The sequence below is a fragment of the Homo sapiens genome, chromosome 17 (genome assembly GCF_000001405.40).
Source record: "Homo sapiens chromosome 17, GRCh38.p14 Primary Assembly".
Classification (NCBI taxonomy): domain Eukaryota; kingdom Metazoa; phylum Chordata; class Mammalia; order Primates; family Hominidae; genus Homo; species Homo sapiens.
In genome coordinates, this window is record NC_000017.11 from 62,650,051 (window position 1) to 62,667,265 (window position 17,215).

Consider the following 17,215-nt stretch of genomic DNA (forward strand, 5'->3'; position numbering starts at 1 on the left):
CACCCGGCTAAGTTTTGTATTTTTAGTAGAGACGGTGTCTCACCATGTTGGCCAGGCTGGCCTCGAACTCTTGGCCTCAAGTGATCTGCCTGCCTCTGCCTCCCAAAATGCTGGGATCACAGGCATGAGCCACCATGCTTGGCCGTCATTCTTAATAGACACCAGGATACTGAAAAATGCTTTGCCACTCAGAAAAACAAGGGTACAAGCATGATACTATATGGCCACTCTCATTCCACTTCAGTGTGTGTGTATGGTGGGGGCACAAAAGGGATGGGTGGAGACTGTGGCAAACCGGTGAGCCCACACCCCTCCCAGGTGGGCAGCTGCACCAGCTCTTGTGGCTGGCACCCTGCAGGCATGCTGCCTCGACTGGAAATCTACATTTTTATGTGTAATCTCTCTCACACATCCTGAAGCCAAACACAACTTGCCTGTGGGCTATCATCTAAAATTCGGAGGCTAGCTGGAGTCCGCTCTGGAATAAGTCTGCCTGGCCATCCTTCCCAGCTCTTCCCCTTATTAACTGTGTTATCAAGATGTTAATCTCTCAGTTATTTAATACCTCAGTTTCCTCATCTGTCAAGTGCAGATCAGAATTTTGCCTACATCTGAGGGTTGTTATAAGGATTAATGAAAAGCCTTGGAACCCACTGTCTGGTGCCTGGACGCGCATGGTTAATGCCTGGCATTCTTTGTGTCTCTTTTTACAAGCGCAGGGTGACCACAGGTCCCAGTTTGCCGGGGGCAGGCCTGGTTCATGCTTGTGGTGCTGGTGTAATGATCACTAACTTGCCATTTCATTGTCGGTATTGACGTAAATGATATGATTTGCCTAGAGAAGCAAATACTGGCACAGTGCTGTTTAGGACTCTGATGAGGTTTAGACCTAATAGAAAGGCCATGGTCCAGGTTCCTTGAACATCCCTGGACAAGTCACTTAACCTTTCTGTGTTCAGTTTCCCGTTCTAAACGATTGGCAAGATGAATTCTAAGATCCCTCCATTCACAGTCATTCTGTCATTTGACAAACATCTTTTTTTTTTTTTTTTTAAACGCAGTCTCGCTCTGTCGCCAGGCTGGAGTGCAGTAGTGCGATCTCGGCTCACTGCAACCTCCGCCTCCTGGGTTCAAGCAATTCTTCTGCCTCAGCCTCCCAAGTAGCTGGGACTACAGGCGAACGCCACCACGCCCAGCAAATTTTTGTACTTTTAGTAGAGACAGGGTTTCACCATGTTGGCCAGAATGGTCTCTATCTCTTGACCTCGTGATCCACCCACCTCGGCCTCCCAGAGTGCTGGGATTACAGGCGTGAGCCACTGCGCCCGGCCGACAAACATCTTTCACAAGCTCAGACTCATGCCAGGCAAAGGTCCAGGGCATGGAGAAGCCAGGGGCAGAGCCTGGGTCCTCAGTGGGCACTTGGCCAGTGAAAACCTCCAGTGCAGGTTGTTGGGAATCTCTACCTTTTTTGTCAAGTGTTACTTGAAAGACCATTACCAAGAAATTGAATTGAAAGTTAATTTTTTTCTCCTTCTTTACGGAGACGAGTTTCACTCTGTCCCCCAGGCTAGAGTGCAGTGGTGCGATCTGGGCTCACTGTAACCTCCTCCTCCCGGGTTCAAGCAATTCTCCTGCCTCAGTCTCCTCAGGCATACACCACCACATCTGCCACCATACCCAGCTAATTTTTGTATTTTTATTAGAGATGGAGTTTCACCATGTTGGCCAGGCTGGTCTCAAACTCCTGGCCTTAAGTGATCCACCTGCCTCGGCCTCCCAAAATGCTGGAATTAAAGGCGTGAGCCACCGCGCCCTGCCTGACTGTTAATATTTTAAACCTCAGTTTCTCAGGAACTAATCATTCTGGTTGAATACATTTTGCTACACATTTCTTTTGTTTGTGGGGGGGTATCTAAGTTGTTTTTTTCTTTTAAGTCAGAAAACATAAATTTTCACTATGGAAAATTGTAAATTACAGAAAGGCCCAAAGATTTTCTTCATTTCTGCTGACTCTTCAATGAACCAGAGGGGCACGTGTAATATTTCCGCTTTCGGTTACTCCCCACCCCACACACCTTGTAGACACTTTGTCAAAACTACATTTTAAAAAAATGCTTTCCCCCAAATTCGTATGGATGTCTCCTAATAAAGTCACGCAGTCACTCACTGGTTCGTCCTCAATCAACCAGGCGTGGAGTCCTAACCTGTCCATGATTTTAAGAAAGGGCAGGCGCACAACACCCCCGCACGGAGAAATGAACAGGTGTGGCTCGGCAGAGGCCTTCCGCACCTGCGTTATGGAGTGGTGGCCGCTGTCGGCGATGGGGTCCCCGCGAGGGCACAAGTGATCGCGTGGCCACGGCGAGGCTCTGCCTCCGCCCCCGCGCTCCGGGTCCCATTCCCGAATTCTGCCCTCAGCGGCCTGGTCAATGAGGTTGGATCGTTGGCCCAGAAAGCCACTTCCTGCCGCGACTGGAGCCAGCCGTCGTTGTGAAAATTCCCCCCACGGGGAAGGAAGTGGCTCTTGGGCTGTTTATTTTGGCTGCGGGCTAGCAGACGGCGCCAGGGGCAGCGGCCACGCAGACCGGGCATTTGTCTAGCTGGGCGGGAGGCGGCGGAGCGGGAAGTGCCACAGATTGAGGGGCGCACGGCGGTGGAGGGAGGGGCGCCCAGTGGAGAGGGGGCTCACGGTGACAGAGGAAGTGGCGCCGCTTGGGGGGGTGCACGATGGCAGGGGGAGGGGTGCTCGGTGGAGGGAGGGGCACACGGTGGCGGGGGGAGGGGCGTGCCGCAGATTGAGGGCGAACGGTGGCTTGGGGAGGGGCGCTCCTTGGAGTTGGGGGCGCACGATGGCGGGGGCAGGGGTGCCCCTTGGGAGCAGAAGCAGAGAAGACTCGGAACTCCAAGAGCAGGTGGATCTGGGAGCCCCAGATCCTGGGCACTGGGTTGGGGGAGAAAGGGGTCAAGGTGTGCCCGCCCCCGGGATGCTCGGACTCTGGGGATCCAGGCCTGGTGACCCCCGGTGAGGAAGAGCCAGTGGGAGGAAAGGGCCGGGCGCTGCCCGGAGCAGAGGCTGGAGGCGAGAGCGATTGCTGCTTGCTGTAGCGCGGCCGCTCTCCAGTTCCTCCGGCAAGGGGGGCCTGGGGGAGGACTGGCCGAAAATACTGTGATGCTTTGGTCTAAGACAAAAGCCAGCAGGGGATGAGATCAAACACCATGACACTGCGAAGGGGAAGGCCAGCGCGGGTGAGGATTTGCCTTCCCAGAGAACCCCAGGGGCGGGGCTAGCTTCCACTCAGCCCGCATTACCCCCACCCCCGCCCCCACCCCCGGGGCGGGGTCTGGAGGATCAGCAAAACCGCGGGAAAGGTGACAGTCGCCTTCCCCACCACCGCCTGCATTTAGTAGGTGGAGGGACAGTCCCACCTCTCCACCCATTCCCTGCCAGAGTGTGATTTAATGTCTTCCTAGAACACAGGATATCACAGTCTGCAGCACAGAGATTTGAAGTGGGGAGAAAAGCATCTCTGGAAATGACTGGTGGGGGAAGCCCGCCACTGCTCTACAAAGGGTGGCCTGTGACAGCAACAGCGCAACACTGGGACTGTGTGTGTAGGTTTTAGGCACAAGCACTTTAAGCTGTGGGAGGAAAGCAGTTTGGCCTGGCTGGGATGGAGGGGCTGTTGGGGAGGAGGGAGGAGGGTGTGAAAAGGGGAAGGTGGCCGGTAGAGGGAAACCCACCATGGTTCAGGATGTCGGTGGGGATGTTGCACAGTTGGGCGGGGTATTGGGCTTCGATATCATGTAACCCCCGTCCTCCATGGAAGCAATGCCCCCCTCGTCCAGCCCAGGATCTAATGTGCATGCATGTACGTGGACACAGTCTCTAGCCAGGGGTGGTGCAGGGTGGGGTGCTGGGTCCCCAGGGTTGGCCTCTTAGCAGGGTGGGGCTGGCAGCTTCTGCTGACTCAAGGACATTTCCAGGCCTGGCCTGGAGGTTAAGCAGCTCATTGAAAACAGCTGCTCCTCTTGGCTGGCGGCCCTTTCAGGCGGCCTCTGGCTCTCCCTGGGATGACCCCTCGCCTCTGCGTGGCCTGGGGAGGGGCAGTGAAGGGAGAGAGGCTCAGAGGCTGGAGGCCACCCTGCCATGCCCTCAGGGATGGAACTGAGTCCCCTCCAGGGCTGGCCAGCTGTCCTCCAGCCCCCAGCTTTCCAGGAGCTAAGCCAGGTGGTCGCTGGGCCCTGCGTTCCTGCCTGCAGCCTTTGCTCCTGCGGTTGGGCAGCTTGGACCGCCTTCCTTGTCCTTGGAATGCCTTCCTTGTCCTTGTCTCTGCTTGTGCCTTTCAGGGTTTTATGTGACATGCCTCTCATTCAACACATATTTGTTGAGAGTCCGCTGCATGCCAGGCACCATGCTAGAATTAACTTCTCATCTGCCTCCTTCATCTGTGATGTCTTGTGGAGAGCAGCCGTCTTATCTGAGGTCAGACCTCTGGCTGCCTCTGTGGATGGGCTGAGTCCGGGGAAACTGCAGCAACAGCTGAGGGTTTTGCTCCAGAGACACAAACTGTTGTCAAGCCTTTGCACTCAGCCTCGCGACTTCACCAAAGCATTGTGTGCCTTGAAGCAGACAGGACGGGAGAGGAGGCCTCAGTGACCATCAAGGAGGAAGGAGATGGGTTACTCAATGTAGGGCAAATTGCTTTAAAACCCAGTTGCCCATGAGCACAGGCATGTTTCCCAGGTGATGACCTGGATGTCTGAGAAACAAGAAGTGTGGACTACATCAGAAATATTCCTATCAAACTAGACACGGTGGCTCACACCTAGAAATCCTGCACTTTGGAAGGCCAAGGTAGGAGGATCAGGAGGTTGGGGCCAGGAGTTCAAGATCAGCTTGGGCAACAAAGCAAGACTCCGTCTCTACAAAAAGTAAAAACAATTAGCTGGGGCTGCGTGCGGTGGCTCACACCTGTAATCCCAGCACTTTGGGAGGCCGAGGCAGGCGGATCACGAGGTCAGGAGATCGAGACCATCCTGGCTAATGCGGTGAAACCCTGTCTCTACTATAAATACAAAAAAATTAGCCGGGCGTGGTGGCGGGCGCCTGTAGTCCCAGCTACTCGGGAGGCTGAGGCAGGAGAATGGCATGAACCCCAGGGGTGGAGCCTGCAGTGAGTGGAGATCGCTCCACTGCACTCCAGGCTGGGCAACAGAGCAGACTCCGTCTCAAACACAAACACTTTGGGAGGCCAAGGTGGGTAGATCACGAGGTCAGGAGATTGAGACCATCCTGGCTAACATGGTGAAACCCCGTTTCTACTAAAAATACAAAAAAATTAGCCGGGCATGGTGGCGGGCGCCTGTAGTCCCAGCTACTCGGGAGGCTGAGGCAGGAGAATGGTGTGAACCCTGGAGGAGGAGCTTGCAGTGAGCCGAGATCGCGCCACTGCACTCCAGCCTGGGCAACAGAGCGAGACTCCATCTCAAAACAAACAAACAAACAAACAACAATTAGCTGGGCATGGTGGGGTGCATGCCTATAGTCCCAGTTATTCTGGGGGCTTAGGTGGGAGGATCACTTGAGCCCAGGAATTCAAGGCTGCAGTGAGCTATGATCATGCCACTGCACTCCAGCCTGGACAACAGAACGAAACTCTGTCTCTTTAAAAAAAAAAAAAAAAAGAAAAAGAAAAGAAAAAAAGAAAGAAAGAAATATTTCTATCACACTTCATTTATCTGGAAAGTTCATTTCTATCTATCACCTTCACCCCCAACCGTGCAGACTTAAACTTTTCCATGGATTGCTTCATGAGTTCAGCCTCTCCAGCTTCATTATAAACGCATGAGGGCAGAGGCTGTATCTTCTTTTGATTCCTAGGCTGGAATGCAGTGGCGTGATTATAGCTCACTACTGCCTCAGACTCCTCGGCTCAGTTATTCCTCCTGCCTCAGACTCCCGAGTAGCTGGGACCACAGGCACATGCCACCACACCTGGCTAATTTTTTTTTGAGATGGAACATCACTCTGTTGCCAGGTTGGAGTACAGTGGTGCAATCTCAGCTCACTGCAACCTCCGCCTCCTGGGTTCAAGCGATTCTCCTACCTCAGCCTCCTGAGTAGTTGGGATTACAGGTGTGCGCCACCATGCCCCGCTAATTTTTGTACTTTTAGTAGAGATGGAGTTTCACCATGTTGGCCAGGCTGGTCTCAAACTCCTGACCTCGTGATTCACCCGCCTCGGCCTCCCAAAGTGCTGGGATTACAGGTGTGAGCCACCACGCCCAGCCTACACCTGGCTAATTTTTAAATTTTTTTGTAGAGACGGGATCTCACCATGTTACCTAGGCTTGTCTTGAACTCCTGGGCTCAAACGATCTTCCCACCTTAGCCTTTCAAAGTGCAGGGATTACAGGCATGAGCCACTGTGCCCAGCATCTGGTTCATTTTTAATTTCCCTTACAGTGCTTCATAAATGATTATCATCTGTATGGGATAAGAAAGCCCCCAAGGGAGCAGCCAGAAGGATGATTAGGAGAATGGGCTGAGGGTCCAGCCTCCAGGCACCTCCTCTGACATGGCCTTGGTGCTGCAGCCGACCCAAGAGGCTGGTCTGACAGGTCAGAGGAGGTCCTAGAGCAGTAACCTCCCAGGAAATAAGGAGAATGGGACAGAAACCCAATGCAGACAAGCTAATTAAAAAAGGAATGCAGGAGCCCAGCTGGCTGCAGATGATCCTGAGTGTTTCACAGAATGGAGGAAAGAGCCTCAGGGATTCAGGGACAGGACATCCAGCATCTTTGGGACTCACTTCCTCTCTTTCCATCTCTTTGTCCCGTTTCACTCTGCTTCTCTTTATATATTATCCCCTCATCGTAGGAAGCATGGCCATTGGCAGCCCCAGCCTAGCAATCTTAACAAAAAGGGAAAGCTTTATGTGTTCCAGGGGAGTTCTCTGATCAGCCCTGTTTGAGTTATGTGCCCCATCACTGTGGCCAAGGGGATAGACACTGTCATCAGCTCAAGAGTGAGCCTTGTGCCCACCCACACATCCACATAGCCAGAGGTACACAATACAAGGAGAACAAGAAGGGGATGGGAAGTTTCCTGGGCAGATAAAGGCAGCTCAATGAGGTCACAGATTGTTATCGTTGCCATGTCTTCATTGTAGAGCCCAGCGCCCTGCCAGACCATATGGTGATAAGGGCTGGGATCATGTCTATATTGTTCACAATACCCTCAGTGCCTGATGCCCTGCTGGCATCTATGAAATTCTCAATACATCATTGTTGGATGAATGAATGAATAAATGAATGAATCACACCCAGCCAGTGCTCAGTGCACAGCTCCCTGCCTAGCTTCATTCATTTCTCCATTTACTCAGTAAGAACATATTGAGCCACAGCTTGATGCGTAGCACTGTGCTAGGCATGGGTTGATTGCCTACAAAATGCAAGAAGTGGTCTTTGTCCTTGGGGAGGAGAATCCCAAGATCCTTGTGAGGGGCCCTGCACCTTCTGTGGGGGGCACTTTTGCTCCCTGCACTGACACCTGATGCTCCCATGCATATGGATGAGGCTGGGGGGTGGGTGAGGCTGGAGGGGCCCTCTCTGGATGGGGGTGGGGGGCATCAGGCCTCTGCACTCTGAGCTCCCTCTGCCCGCTTTGTATGTGCTTGATGAAGCACGGGTACAAAGAACACAGAGCCAGCTCTCAGGACGCCTTTTCTCTTTCCCCAGCAGTTCCAGCCCAGCCTGAGCGTGCACTCCCCCTCCACTAGGCCTTGGAGAAAGAGCCTCTTTTCATTGAGGGCCCAGGCCCACCGGCCACTTCGGGTGGAAAATGCTCTCAAGAACCCCCTGACCCCGGCTTGGCAGAGTCCCCCCGGATCCACCTACAGGAATCCCCCCTCAGCTTCTCCTTTGCTTTGCAGAGCTCCTGCACGCCTCTCCTCTGCTTTTTGATTCCTCAGCCTTTTCTCATTTGCTGCCAAATGAGAAAATGCAAGAGGTTGCCTTTGTCCTCTTTTGCTGCCAAATGAGAAAATGTGACCTGTGTTCTTCAGTGCCTCCTCCACATTGCAGTCTTCAGATCTCTGCCCAGCGGAGTCTCTCGGCCCTTGGGAGGCACAGAGCTCCTTGTAACGCCCCCAGACACCTGGGATTTTAAAGGTTTGTTTGCTCTTATGCCCGGCATTTCTCCTCTAACTGGATTACAAATCCTGCGAGGGGAGGGACGGTGCTGCGAGTTTCCTTGTGGTCCCAGCATTGCCTGGAACATGCCATGCACCTAGCAGAAAGTTGGGTGGATTTGAACCCAGAGCCTAGGATGTCAGAGGGAGGAGGGGCCTTGAAGCTGTGCCTCATGTGACAAAGGAGGAAACTGAGGCCTGAAAGGTACTTCTGTTGGACATTCTAATCCCGTCCCCTTTCTGGACTTCAGTTTCCTCTGTCAAGTGAGGGGAGGTTGGCCTGACCCTGGGAAAAGCCCCTCCCGACTAACCTGGACCTCTTTCAGACCCTTCATTCACCGTTTGCTACAACTGCTACAGCCCACCTGGCATTGATTTAGCACACTTGTGGATTTTCTGGCTGGGGAGGAGAGGAAGATAACGTCCTCTTGGGCTATTGTGGGCTCACGTGAAGTTTTGGGCTTCGTTTTCCAGTCGTATCTCTGAGAAACATCTACAAAACAAGCAATAATTTTTTTCCTTTTCCGGCCCCAGGCCCCTTTGGCTACCTCCTGCCAAGGCCATTTTCTGTTACTACTGCCTGGAGTAGAGTTTCTGAGAACCAGATACCTACTCCTTAAAGGAAGCTTGGGCAGGCATGGATCAAGTCCTGGAGCTGGTTTCTGGTTTCTGGTGGGTGGCTGAAAGGTGACCTAGTCTGTTTGGGTTGTTATAACACAATACCGTTAACAGATGGCTTGTAAACAATAGAAATGTATTTCTCATGGCTTTGGAGGCTGAGAAGTCTAAGATCAAGGTTCCTGCCGATTCAATGTCTGGTGAGGGCCACTTCCTCGTGGACAGCTGTCTTCTCACTGTACCCTCACATGGTGGAATAGGTGAGGGTCTCTCTGGGGTGTCTTTTATTAGGACGCTCATCCTATCCATGAAGGCTCTTCCCTAATGACCTAAGCACCTCCCAAAGGTCTCACATCCTAATGCCATCACCATGGGGGTTTAAGATTTCAACACAGGCCGGGCGTGGTGGCTCACTCTTGTAATCCTAGTACTCTGGGAGGCCAAGGTGGGAGGCTCACCTGAGGTCAGGAGTTTGAGACCAGCCTGGCCAACATGGTGAAACTGCGTCTGTACTAAAAATACAAAAATTAGCTGAGCATGGTGACGCAGGCCTGTAGTTCCAGCTACTTGGGAGGCTGCTGAGGCAGAAGAATCGCTTGAACCGGGGAGGCGGAGGTTGCAGCAGTGAGCAGAGATCGCGCCACTGCACTCCAGCTGGGGCAACAGAGCGAGACTCTGTATCAAAAAAAAAAAAAAAGCTTTCAGCACATGAATTTTTGGAGGTTGACACATTCTGTTCATGGCAGGAGGGAAGGAGCAGGTTCAAGGCAGGGGACCCAGAGATTAGCTGTGGCAGTTGTCCTAGGGGTACTTTAGGAAGCTCACTTTGTCCTGCCCAGAGAGGAACCCCATCCAAGTGCTGTTAGAGGACAGAGGGGCAGGGTCCCTGCCCCAACCTACATTCCCATGGTGGTGTTTTGAGCATCAGTGACAGGAGCTGTGGGTACTATGTTTTAGGAAAATTAATCTGGCTGTTGGAACAAGGAGCAGAAAGATAGGCTGGTTGTTTGTGATTATTATCTAGGCATGAAATTCGTTCATTCATGCATGTGTTCATTTGTTCCTTCAGTATTTAAGCATCACTGTGTGTCAGGCAGAACTGTAGGTGCTGGGGTTACAGTGGTGGAGAAGACAGAAAACAAGAGTGTCAGATAGCGAGTTCTGGTTCTGGAAGTGGCAGAGTAGCTTGTGTCAGTCTAACTCTCTGGCCAAGAATGCTTTTAGACTAAGGGAAAATTATAAAATATGGTGATTATGGTGATTTGAAGGCAATGAACAGCAATTAAAACCAGACAGAGGTAGAGAGGAAAAAATCCTTGAAAGTAAAAAGTAAACCTGGCACATTTAACCAGCTTTTCCCTGAACACACTACCTGGTTTGAGGAGCTCATACAGAAAGTGGCAGTTTTACCGGTTAGAGCTTGGGGCCACTAGAAAGGCTAACATTGAGAGGAAATGTTAGGAAAGCAAGGAGCCATAGAAATTCCTTCTACAGATTCTCCTTAAATCCTTGGTGACTCCTGAACTGTGCATTTGCAGGGTAGGGTTCTAAGCAGCCCAGCAAGAAACAGCAGCTGGGAGGTAGAGGTTTCAGTTGCTATCTGGTGCTGAGGAAACAGAGTTTAAAATTTAAGTTCCACCAAGTTTGAGGGGCTTAGTAATCACCTAAGGTTTTCTTTTGAAATCCCAGAAGGGCCTCACCTTATGATTAAATCCAAGGTTAAGAGCCACATCTGAAGACTAAAGGCAAAACTCAAACAACCCCACCCTAGCAAAGCTTAAAACCAAACCTCCACAAGAGCAAGGTAATCCACTGGTAATTTAACTGCCTGCCATAACAAAATCCAGCATTCTTTAGAGGAAGATTTTTTTAAAATCCAGATTCCCTTTAACATAGCATCCCTGACGTTCAGTATACAACAAAAAAGTCCAGACTCCTTATGACATTATCCACAATGTCCAGCATATAATAAAAATTTGCAGATAGTAGGCAGCAGGAGATGACCCATAATCAAAAGAAAAAACAGTCAATAGATGCAGATGCACAGACAACCCAGATGGTGAAAAAAATCAGATAATAAATGCCATGAAGAGCATTATAATCAAGTGATATGATAGAGAGTAACTGTGGTCACTTTACGATTGGGAGGCCAGGAGGATCTCTCTAAAGATGTTACCCTTTTTTGTTGTTTGAAATGTGAAATGCCAGGTAGAGGAAATAATGCATAGGCCCAGAGATAGGAAACAGCCAGGCTTGTTCAAGGAAGAACAAGGAGGTCAAAGCGACTTGAGCAAGGTGGAGTAACAAGATTTGAGATCAGGCCGTTAGACAGGACCAGATCATGTTAAATTGTGGCTCATAGTAAGAGGCTGAATCTCATTTGAAGAATGATGAATTATCTTTGAAGTAATTCAAGCAGGAGGAAGACTTACCTGCCTTCTGTTGTTGTTGTTTTTTTCCCTTTTACTATGAGCGAGGCTGTCATTTCAAATATTTAAGAGGCAATTGCATTTTCTTCTTTTGCTGTCTATGCATATCTCTTCTTCATTTTCTACTGCATTGTTGATACTTTCCCTAAGTTTCATGTATCTATTTTTTTGGTAGAAGCTCTTCTTTCTTTTCTTTTCTTTCCTTCCTTCCTTTCTTTCTTTTCTTTCTTTCTTTCTCTTTCTTTTTCTTTCTTTCTCTTTCTTTCTTTCTCCTTCCTTCCTTCATTCCTTCCTTCCTTCCTTCCTTCCTTCCTTCCTTCCTTCTTTCTTAAGACTAGTAAAGTCAGAAAGGAGGAAAGAGTAGAACAAAGACTTTGGTCTGTAACTGACTATGAACAACCAATTGAGATAACTCACCATCTTTGGACCAGCCAGAGGCTCTTTTAATATTGTGGACTTAACTATTTGCCTCTAATAAGGCACATATATTTTTGTCATTTATTTGAATTTTGACCTTGCTGATGGCATCATATGTTGGCATTAAAAAAATCTTTTTATGGGAAAAAAGTTCTTATGCTATTGAATTCATCAGTGTTGTCTATGACCTTCAACATTCCAATAATATTTTTAAATTTTTTCTAGGACTGATTTATATCTTTAAAAGATTATTCTAGGCCAGGTGCGGTGGCTCATGCCTGTAATCCTAGCACTTTGGGAGTCTGAGGAGGGCAGATTCCCTGAGCTCAGGAGTTTGAGATCAGACTGGGCAACATGGAGAAACACTGTCTCTACTAAAAATACAAAAAAATTAGCCAGGCATGGTGGCATGTGCCTGTAGTCCCAGCTACTCGGGAGGCTGAGACAGAAGAATCGCTTGAACCTGGGAGGCAGAAGTTGCAGTGAGCCAAGATTGCGCCACTGCACTCTAGCCTGGGTGACAGAGCGGGACTCTGTCTCAAAAAAAAAAAAAATAGATTATTCTGACTGTCTTTGGAGAATGGACTATAATAGGATGATGAGATCAGCATCGGGGAAGAGAGAGAACTTGAGATTTGGACCCAGGAGATGAGGGCCACATTTCAGCTCCTTCCCTTAACAATCTTACGACTCTTGTCATCAAATTGCTTCACCACCCTCAGCCAATTTCTTTACCAATAACATAGCATAATGCTGATTTATAGTCTTCTTACTGTGCCAGATCCTGTTCCAAATGCTTTACATGTATTATCTCATTTCATCGTTACCAGAGTCTTAAGATGAGGAAACGGCATAGAGAGATGAAGCACTTTGCCCAAGTCCCATATTCAGTGGCAGACCTAGAATCGAAGCACTAGCTGCCGGGCACGGTGGCTCATGCCTGTAATCCCAGCACTTTGGGAGACCAAGGTGGGCGGATCACCCGAGGTTGGGAGTTTGAGACCACCCTGACCAACATGGAGAAATCTCATCTCTACTAAAAATACAAAAAAATTAGCCAGGTGTGGTGGTGCATGCCTGTAATCCCAGCTACTCAGGAGGCTGAGGCAGAATTGCTTGAACCCAGGAGGCAGAGGTTGCAGTGAGCCGAGATCGAGCCATTGCACTCCAGCCTGGGCAACACGAGCAATAGTCCGTCTCAAAAAAGAAACAAAAAAAAGAAACAAAAGAAAATAAACACTAGCAGTCGGATTCATCATTTCAACACATGAAAAGTATCCTGGGGAGCTAGTGGCTAGTGGATGCAAAAGTTCTTTGGAGATTGGATGTACTCCATATGTGTGTTGTGTACATAAGTGGCAGTCAGGGAACAAGAGGAAGGTGATGGATGTCACAGAGATCTGGGTTTGCTTACTGGGCGTGGGACACTGGGAGTAGGTCACTTCATGTCTCTAAGACTCTGTCTGTCTTTTCTTACCTTCCTTCCCTCCCTCCCTCCCTCCCTCATTCCCTCCTTCCTACCATCCATCCCTCCCTCCCTCCTTCCTCCCTAGTTTCTTCCTTTCTTTCTCTTTCCTCCTTCCTACCCTCCCTTGCTCCTTCCTTTCTTTTTCTTCACTGAAACATAACTCACATATAGAATTTACCCATTTAAAACATATATTTAATTGGGATTTAGTTTTTTCACAGCATTGTGCAACTATCATGACAATCTAATTTTAGAACATTTTCGTCATATCCCCAAAAGAAGCACCGTGCCCTTTAGCAGCCACTCCCCTTTCTCGTCACCCACAGGCAACCATTAATTTGCTTTCTGTCTCTATGCATTGAAGCTTCATTTCTTACTCTGTAAAGTGGGTGTGCTGTGGTGGGGGGCAGGTTGGATTTCCCCCAGTGACTTCTACAGAGGGTGCCTGCTCAGCGAGGAGATAGGTGGAAAGAGGAAAGGTTGAGGAAGCCAAAGAATTAAATTGCTGCGTAAAAATTAAGGCGTGAAATAGTTCAGGGGTGGGATGAGTGGTCTGGGAAGATCCTAGAAGAAGGAAAGGATGGAACCAGTGCAAGGGGCAGGGGGAAGGGTGAGACACAATGCCTCCGGATCAAAGGAGAATTTTGGCAGAAAAACCACGCCATGTAATAGAGATTGAGATTGAGGTTGCAACGTGGTGTGTGGTGTAAATGCCTCCACTCCTCCTCATAAAATCTTCAGAAAAGTATACAGGTGATGTGCCGGGTGGAGTTGGGTTTGCTTTTTTTTTTTTTTTTTTTGAGACGGAGTCTCGCTCTGTCGCCCAGGCTGGAGTGCAGTGGCGGGATCTCGGCTCACTGCAAGCTCCGCCTCCCGGGTTCACGCCATTCTCCTGCCTCAGCCTCCCAAGTAGCTGGGACTACAGGCGCCCGCCACTACGCCCGGCTAATTTTTTGTATTTTTAGTAGAGACGGGGTTTCACCGTTTTAGCCGGGATGGTCTCGATCTCCTGACCTCGTGATCCGCCCGCCTCGGCCTCCCAAAGTGCTGGGATTACAGGCGTGAGCCACCGCGCCCGGCCTGGGTTTGCTTTTGAGGGTGGTACAGAGGACTGAGTCCTCCCTCCTGGTGAGCAGGGGCTAGAACAGAGGTAGTCCTGCAGGCCTCTGCCTCATCTGGGCACAAGGGCTTAGCACTGCCACTCATTTCCACCTCAGAGGGTTGGTAGTGAGTACCGAGTGATTTAACGTATGAGTGACGGCTCACCATCCTGCACTGGGCACATGGTAGGTGCCTGTCAGCCACACCGGTCATCAAGGGCCAACCAGGAGAGCCCCTGTGATGCCTTCGTGTCTTGCCTTCCCTTCCAGAACCCAACGTCTTCCTCATCTTCAGCCATGGACTGCAGGGCTGCCTGGAGGCCCAGGGCGGGCAGGTCAGAGTCACCCCGGCTTGCAATACCAGCCTCCCTGCCCAGCGCTGGAAGTGGGTCTCCCGAAACCGGCTATTCAACCTGGGTACCATGCAGTGCCTGGGCACAGGCTGGCCAGGCACCAACACCACGGCCTCCCTGGGCATGTATGAGTGTGACCGGGAAGCACTGAATCTTCGCTGGCATTGTCGTACACTGGGTGACCAGCTGTCCTTGCTCCTGGGGGCCCGCACCAGCAACATATCCAAGCCTGGCACCCTTGAGCGTGGTGACCAGACCCGCAGTGGCCAGTGGCGCATCTACGGCAGCGAGGAGGACCTATGTGCTCTGCCCTACCACGGTGAGGGGCCGCTTGCAGGCGGGAGGGTGGGGTCCCCGATGTCCAGGGGACTGGAGCCATGAGGGACAGATTCCCAGTGACAAGGCCTTTGGCCTCTGTGGACCCTTGGCAGTCACATGTTTAATTATAATAGGAAGCATTTTTTAATAATTAAGAAAATTAACTTCAGGCCAGGTGCGGTGGCTCACGCCTGTAATCCCAGCACTTTGGGAGGCCAAGGTGGGTGGATCACTTGAGGTCAGGAGTTCAAGACCAGCCTGGCCAACATGGAAAAACCCCATCTCTACTAAAAATTCAAAAATTAGCCAGGTGTGGTGGAGCATGCCCATCATAGTCCCAGCTACTTGGGAGGCTGAGGAAGGAGAATCGCTTGAACCCAGGAGGCAGAGGTTGCACTGAGCTGAGATTGCGCCACTGCACTGTGCAGCCTGGGTGACAGAGCAAGACTCTGTCCCCCCCCCCACAAAAAAAAAAAGAAAAGAAAAGAAAAAAGAAAAATTAACTTCAAAGCATTTAATTTACTTTTGTAAAAATTGCAAAATACATGCTTGTAAAGTCTTCAAATAGTATACAAGTATATAACATAAAATTAAATGAAAATTCCCTTCCCCCAGGCCCACTCTCCAGGTGAAACCCCATTGTAGCCCCCCATGTTGTCTTAATGCCTGTCTTGCATGTGGTGAATGGGGACCAGAGTCACCATGTGAGGGGCTGGCCTCTTGTGGTGGACAGCCCCGTCCTGGGGGGGCCTTTCCTGGGAGACCCCCTGAGTTCCGAGATAGAACTTTGTGGGGACACAGAGCCCATGGGCTGGGTAGCTGAGCAGAGATTCCACCGGGCTCAGCCCTCTGTGGGTGACTTGGAGGCCCTCTTGCCCAGCTGGAGTTTGGATGGGATTAGGGGTACTAGGGAGCCCCTTCCCAGCCCTATGAGGTGTGCAGCAAGACCTCTCTCTGGTTCCTGGGCTGACTCAACAGCAGAAGAAGCCTTAAAGCCACTATGGGGTGCCATTGCCTCTCCCACCTGCTGATCCCTGTGAACACCCAGCACTCTGGGTTTTAGGGGATTTCTCCTGAGGGTCGAGGGGCTTGGCAGCCTCTGGTGTCCAGATGCCAAGGGCCTGGCCCCTGTCCACCCCCTGCAGAGGTCTACACCATCCAGGGAAACTCCCACGGAAAGCCGTGCACCATCCCCTTCAAATATGACAACCAGTGGTTCCACGGCTGCACCAGCACGGGCCGCGAGGATGGTCACCTGTGGTGTGCCACCACCCAGGACTACGGCAAAGACGAGCGCTGGGGCTTCTGCCCCATCAAGAGTGAGAGCTGTTGGAGCCGTGGGGGCGGGGGCAGTGTTCCTGGAGGGAGGCTGGTGCTGAGGGGCCCCGGGGCCCAGGGTGAGATACTGCCCCCTCCCCTACCTAGTGTAGCCTTTTGGTGGGGGAGGGTCTGCACTCCCGAGGGACCCTGGAGGGGGCCTGAAGGAGAGGGCTGTCGTGGTGGCAGGTAACGACTGCGAGACCTTCTGGGACAAGGACCAGCTGACTGACAGCTGCTACCAGTTTAACTTCCAGTCCACGCTGTCGTGGAGGGAGGCCTGGGCCAGCTGCGAGCAGCAGGGTGCGGATCTGCTGAGCATCACGGAGATCCACGAGCAGACCTACATCAACGGTGAGCCGGGGCCTGATGCCTGCTCGTGCCTCTGGAGGGCCCGGGCCCTTTCCGCTTGTGGGTTGGGGAGAGGGCGATGGGGAGCGGGGGAGGCTGGGGCTGGGGATCCCCTGTTCAGTGTCCCTCCTTGCTGTCAGGCCTCCTCACTGGGTACAGCTCCACCCTGTGGATCGGCTTGAATGACTTGGACACGAGCGGAGGCTGGCAGTGGTCGGACAACTCGCCCCTCAAGTACCTCAACTGGGAGAGTGGTGAGGCACAAGGTTGGGGGCGCAGGGCAGCATAGGGGCCCCGCGGGCTCTTGGCCTCCCATGGACTCCTCTCCTCATGTCCTCCTGCAGAGGGGCAGTGTGGGTAGGGGAAGCACCGACCTCCACCCCCCTCCCCAGACTGCGCCCCCCTAGCCCATGTAGGGCGGCGCTGCCCCAGGCCGAAGGTCTTGGTGCATATGGACTGGGTGCCAGCCTCCACTCACCTCTTCAGCCACCCCTGTGGGCAGCGGGCACCAGCGCACCCAGCAGCCTGGACGGGGAGGCCGGGGCGGGGCTGGTACTGGTTACTGGGTAGAAGGTTCAAGGCGACGTGCACCCAGGTTAGAAAGCGCGGAGGACCCCGTGGTCTGGGGCGGAGCTGGAGCTGAGCACCA

The 17,215-nt window shown here is 51.6% G+C and overlaps 1 protein-coding gene across 3 annotated transcripts in view, besides 4 other annotated features; it reads left to right on the forward strand.

The window, feature by feature from the left end:
• Positions 1-17,215, forward strand: part of MRC2 (mannose receptor C-type 2) — a 65,928-nt gene that overhangs the window by 22,381 nt on the left and 26,332 nt on the right. For all 3 annotated transcript variants that reach the window (NM_006039.5, XM_047437208.1, XM_011525543.2), the window contains exons 2-5: positions 14,498-14,899; positions 16,044-16,217; positions 16,405-16,569; positions 16,707-16,820. In NM_006039.5, coding sequence (NP_006030.2) covers positions 14,498-14,899; positions 16,044-16,217; positions 16,405-16,569; positions 16,707-16,820 — 855 coding nt within the window. The remainder of the gene's footprint in view (positions 1-14,497; positions 14,900-16,043; positions 16,218-16,404; positions 16,570-16,706; positions 16,821-17,215) is intronic.
• Positions 1,803-2,514: an enhancer, noted in NCBI's record as "H3K27ac-H3K4me1 hESC enhancer chr17:60729214-60729925 (GRCh37/hg19 assembly coordinates)". NCBI's record gives its function as "activates a minimal SCP1, AML or CMV promoter by ChIP-STARR-seq in primed H9 embryonic stem cells {active_cell/tissue: H9 hESC(primed)}" and the evidence as "EXISTENCE:reporter gene assay evidence [ECO:0000049][PMID:30033119]".
• Positions 2,515-3,225: an enhancer, noted in NCBI's record as "H3K27ac-H3K4me1 hESC enhancer chr17:60729926-60730636 (GRCh37/hg19 assembly coordinates)". NCBI's record gives its function as "activates a minimal SCP1, AML or CMV promoter by ChIP-STARR-seq in naive H9 embryonic stem cells {active_cell/tissue: H9 hESC(naive)}" and the evidence as "EXISTENCE:reporter gene assay evidence [ECO:0000049][PMID:30033119]".
• Positions 3,938-4,648: an enhancer, noted in NCBI's record as "H3K27ac-H3K4me1 hESC enhancer chr17:60731349-60732059 (GRCh37/hg19 assembly coordinates)". NCBI's record gives its function as "activates a minimal SCP1, AML or CMV promoter by ChIP-STARR-seq in naive H9 embryonic stem cells {active_cell/tissue: H9 hESC(naive)}" and the evidence as "EXISTENCE:reporter gene assay evidence [ECO:0000049][PMID:30033119]".
• Positions 16,020-16,610: an enhancer, noted in NCBI's record as "H3K27ac-H3K4me1 hESC enhancer chr17:60743431-60744021 (GRCh37/hg19 assembly coordinates)". NCBI's record gives its function as "activates a minimal SCP1, AML or CMV promoter by ChIP-STARR-seq in primed H9 embryonic stem cells {active_cell/tissue: H9 hESC(primed)}" and the evidence as "EXISTENCE:reporter gene assay evidence [ECO:0000049][PMID:30033119]".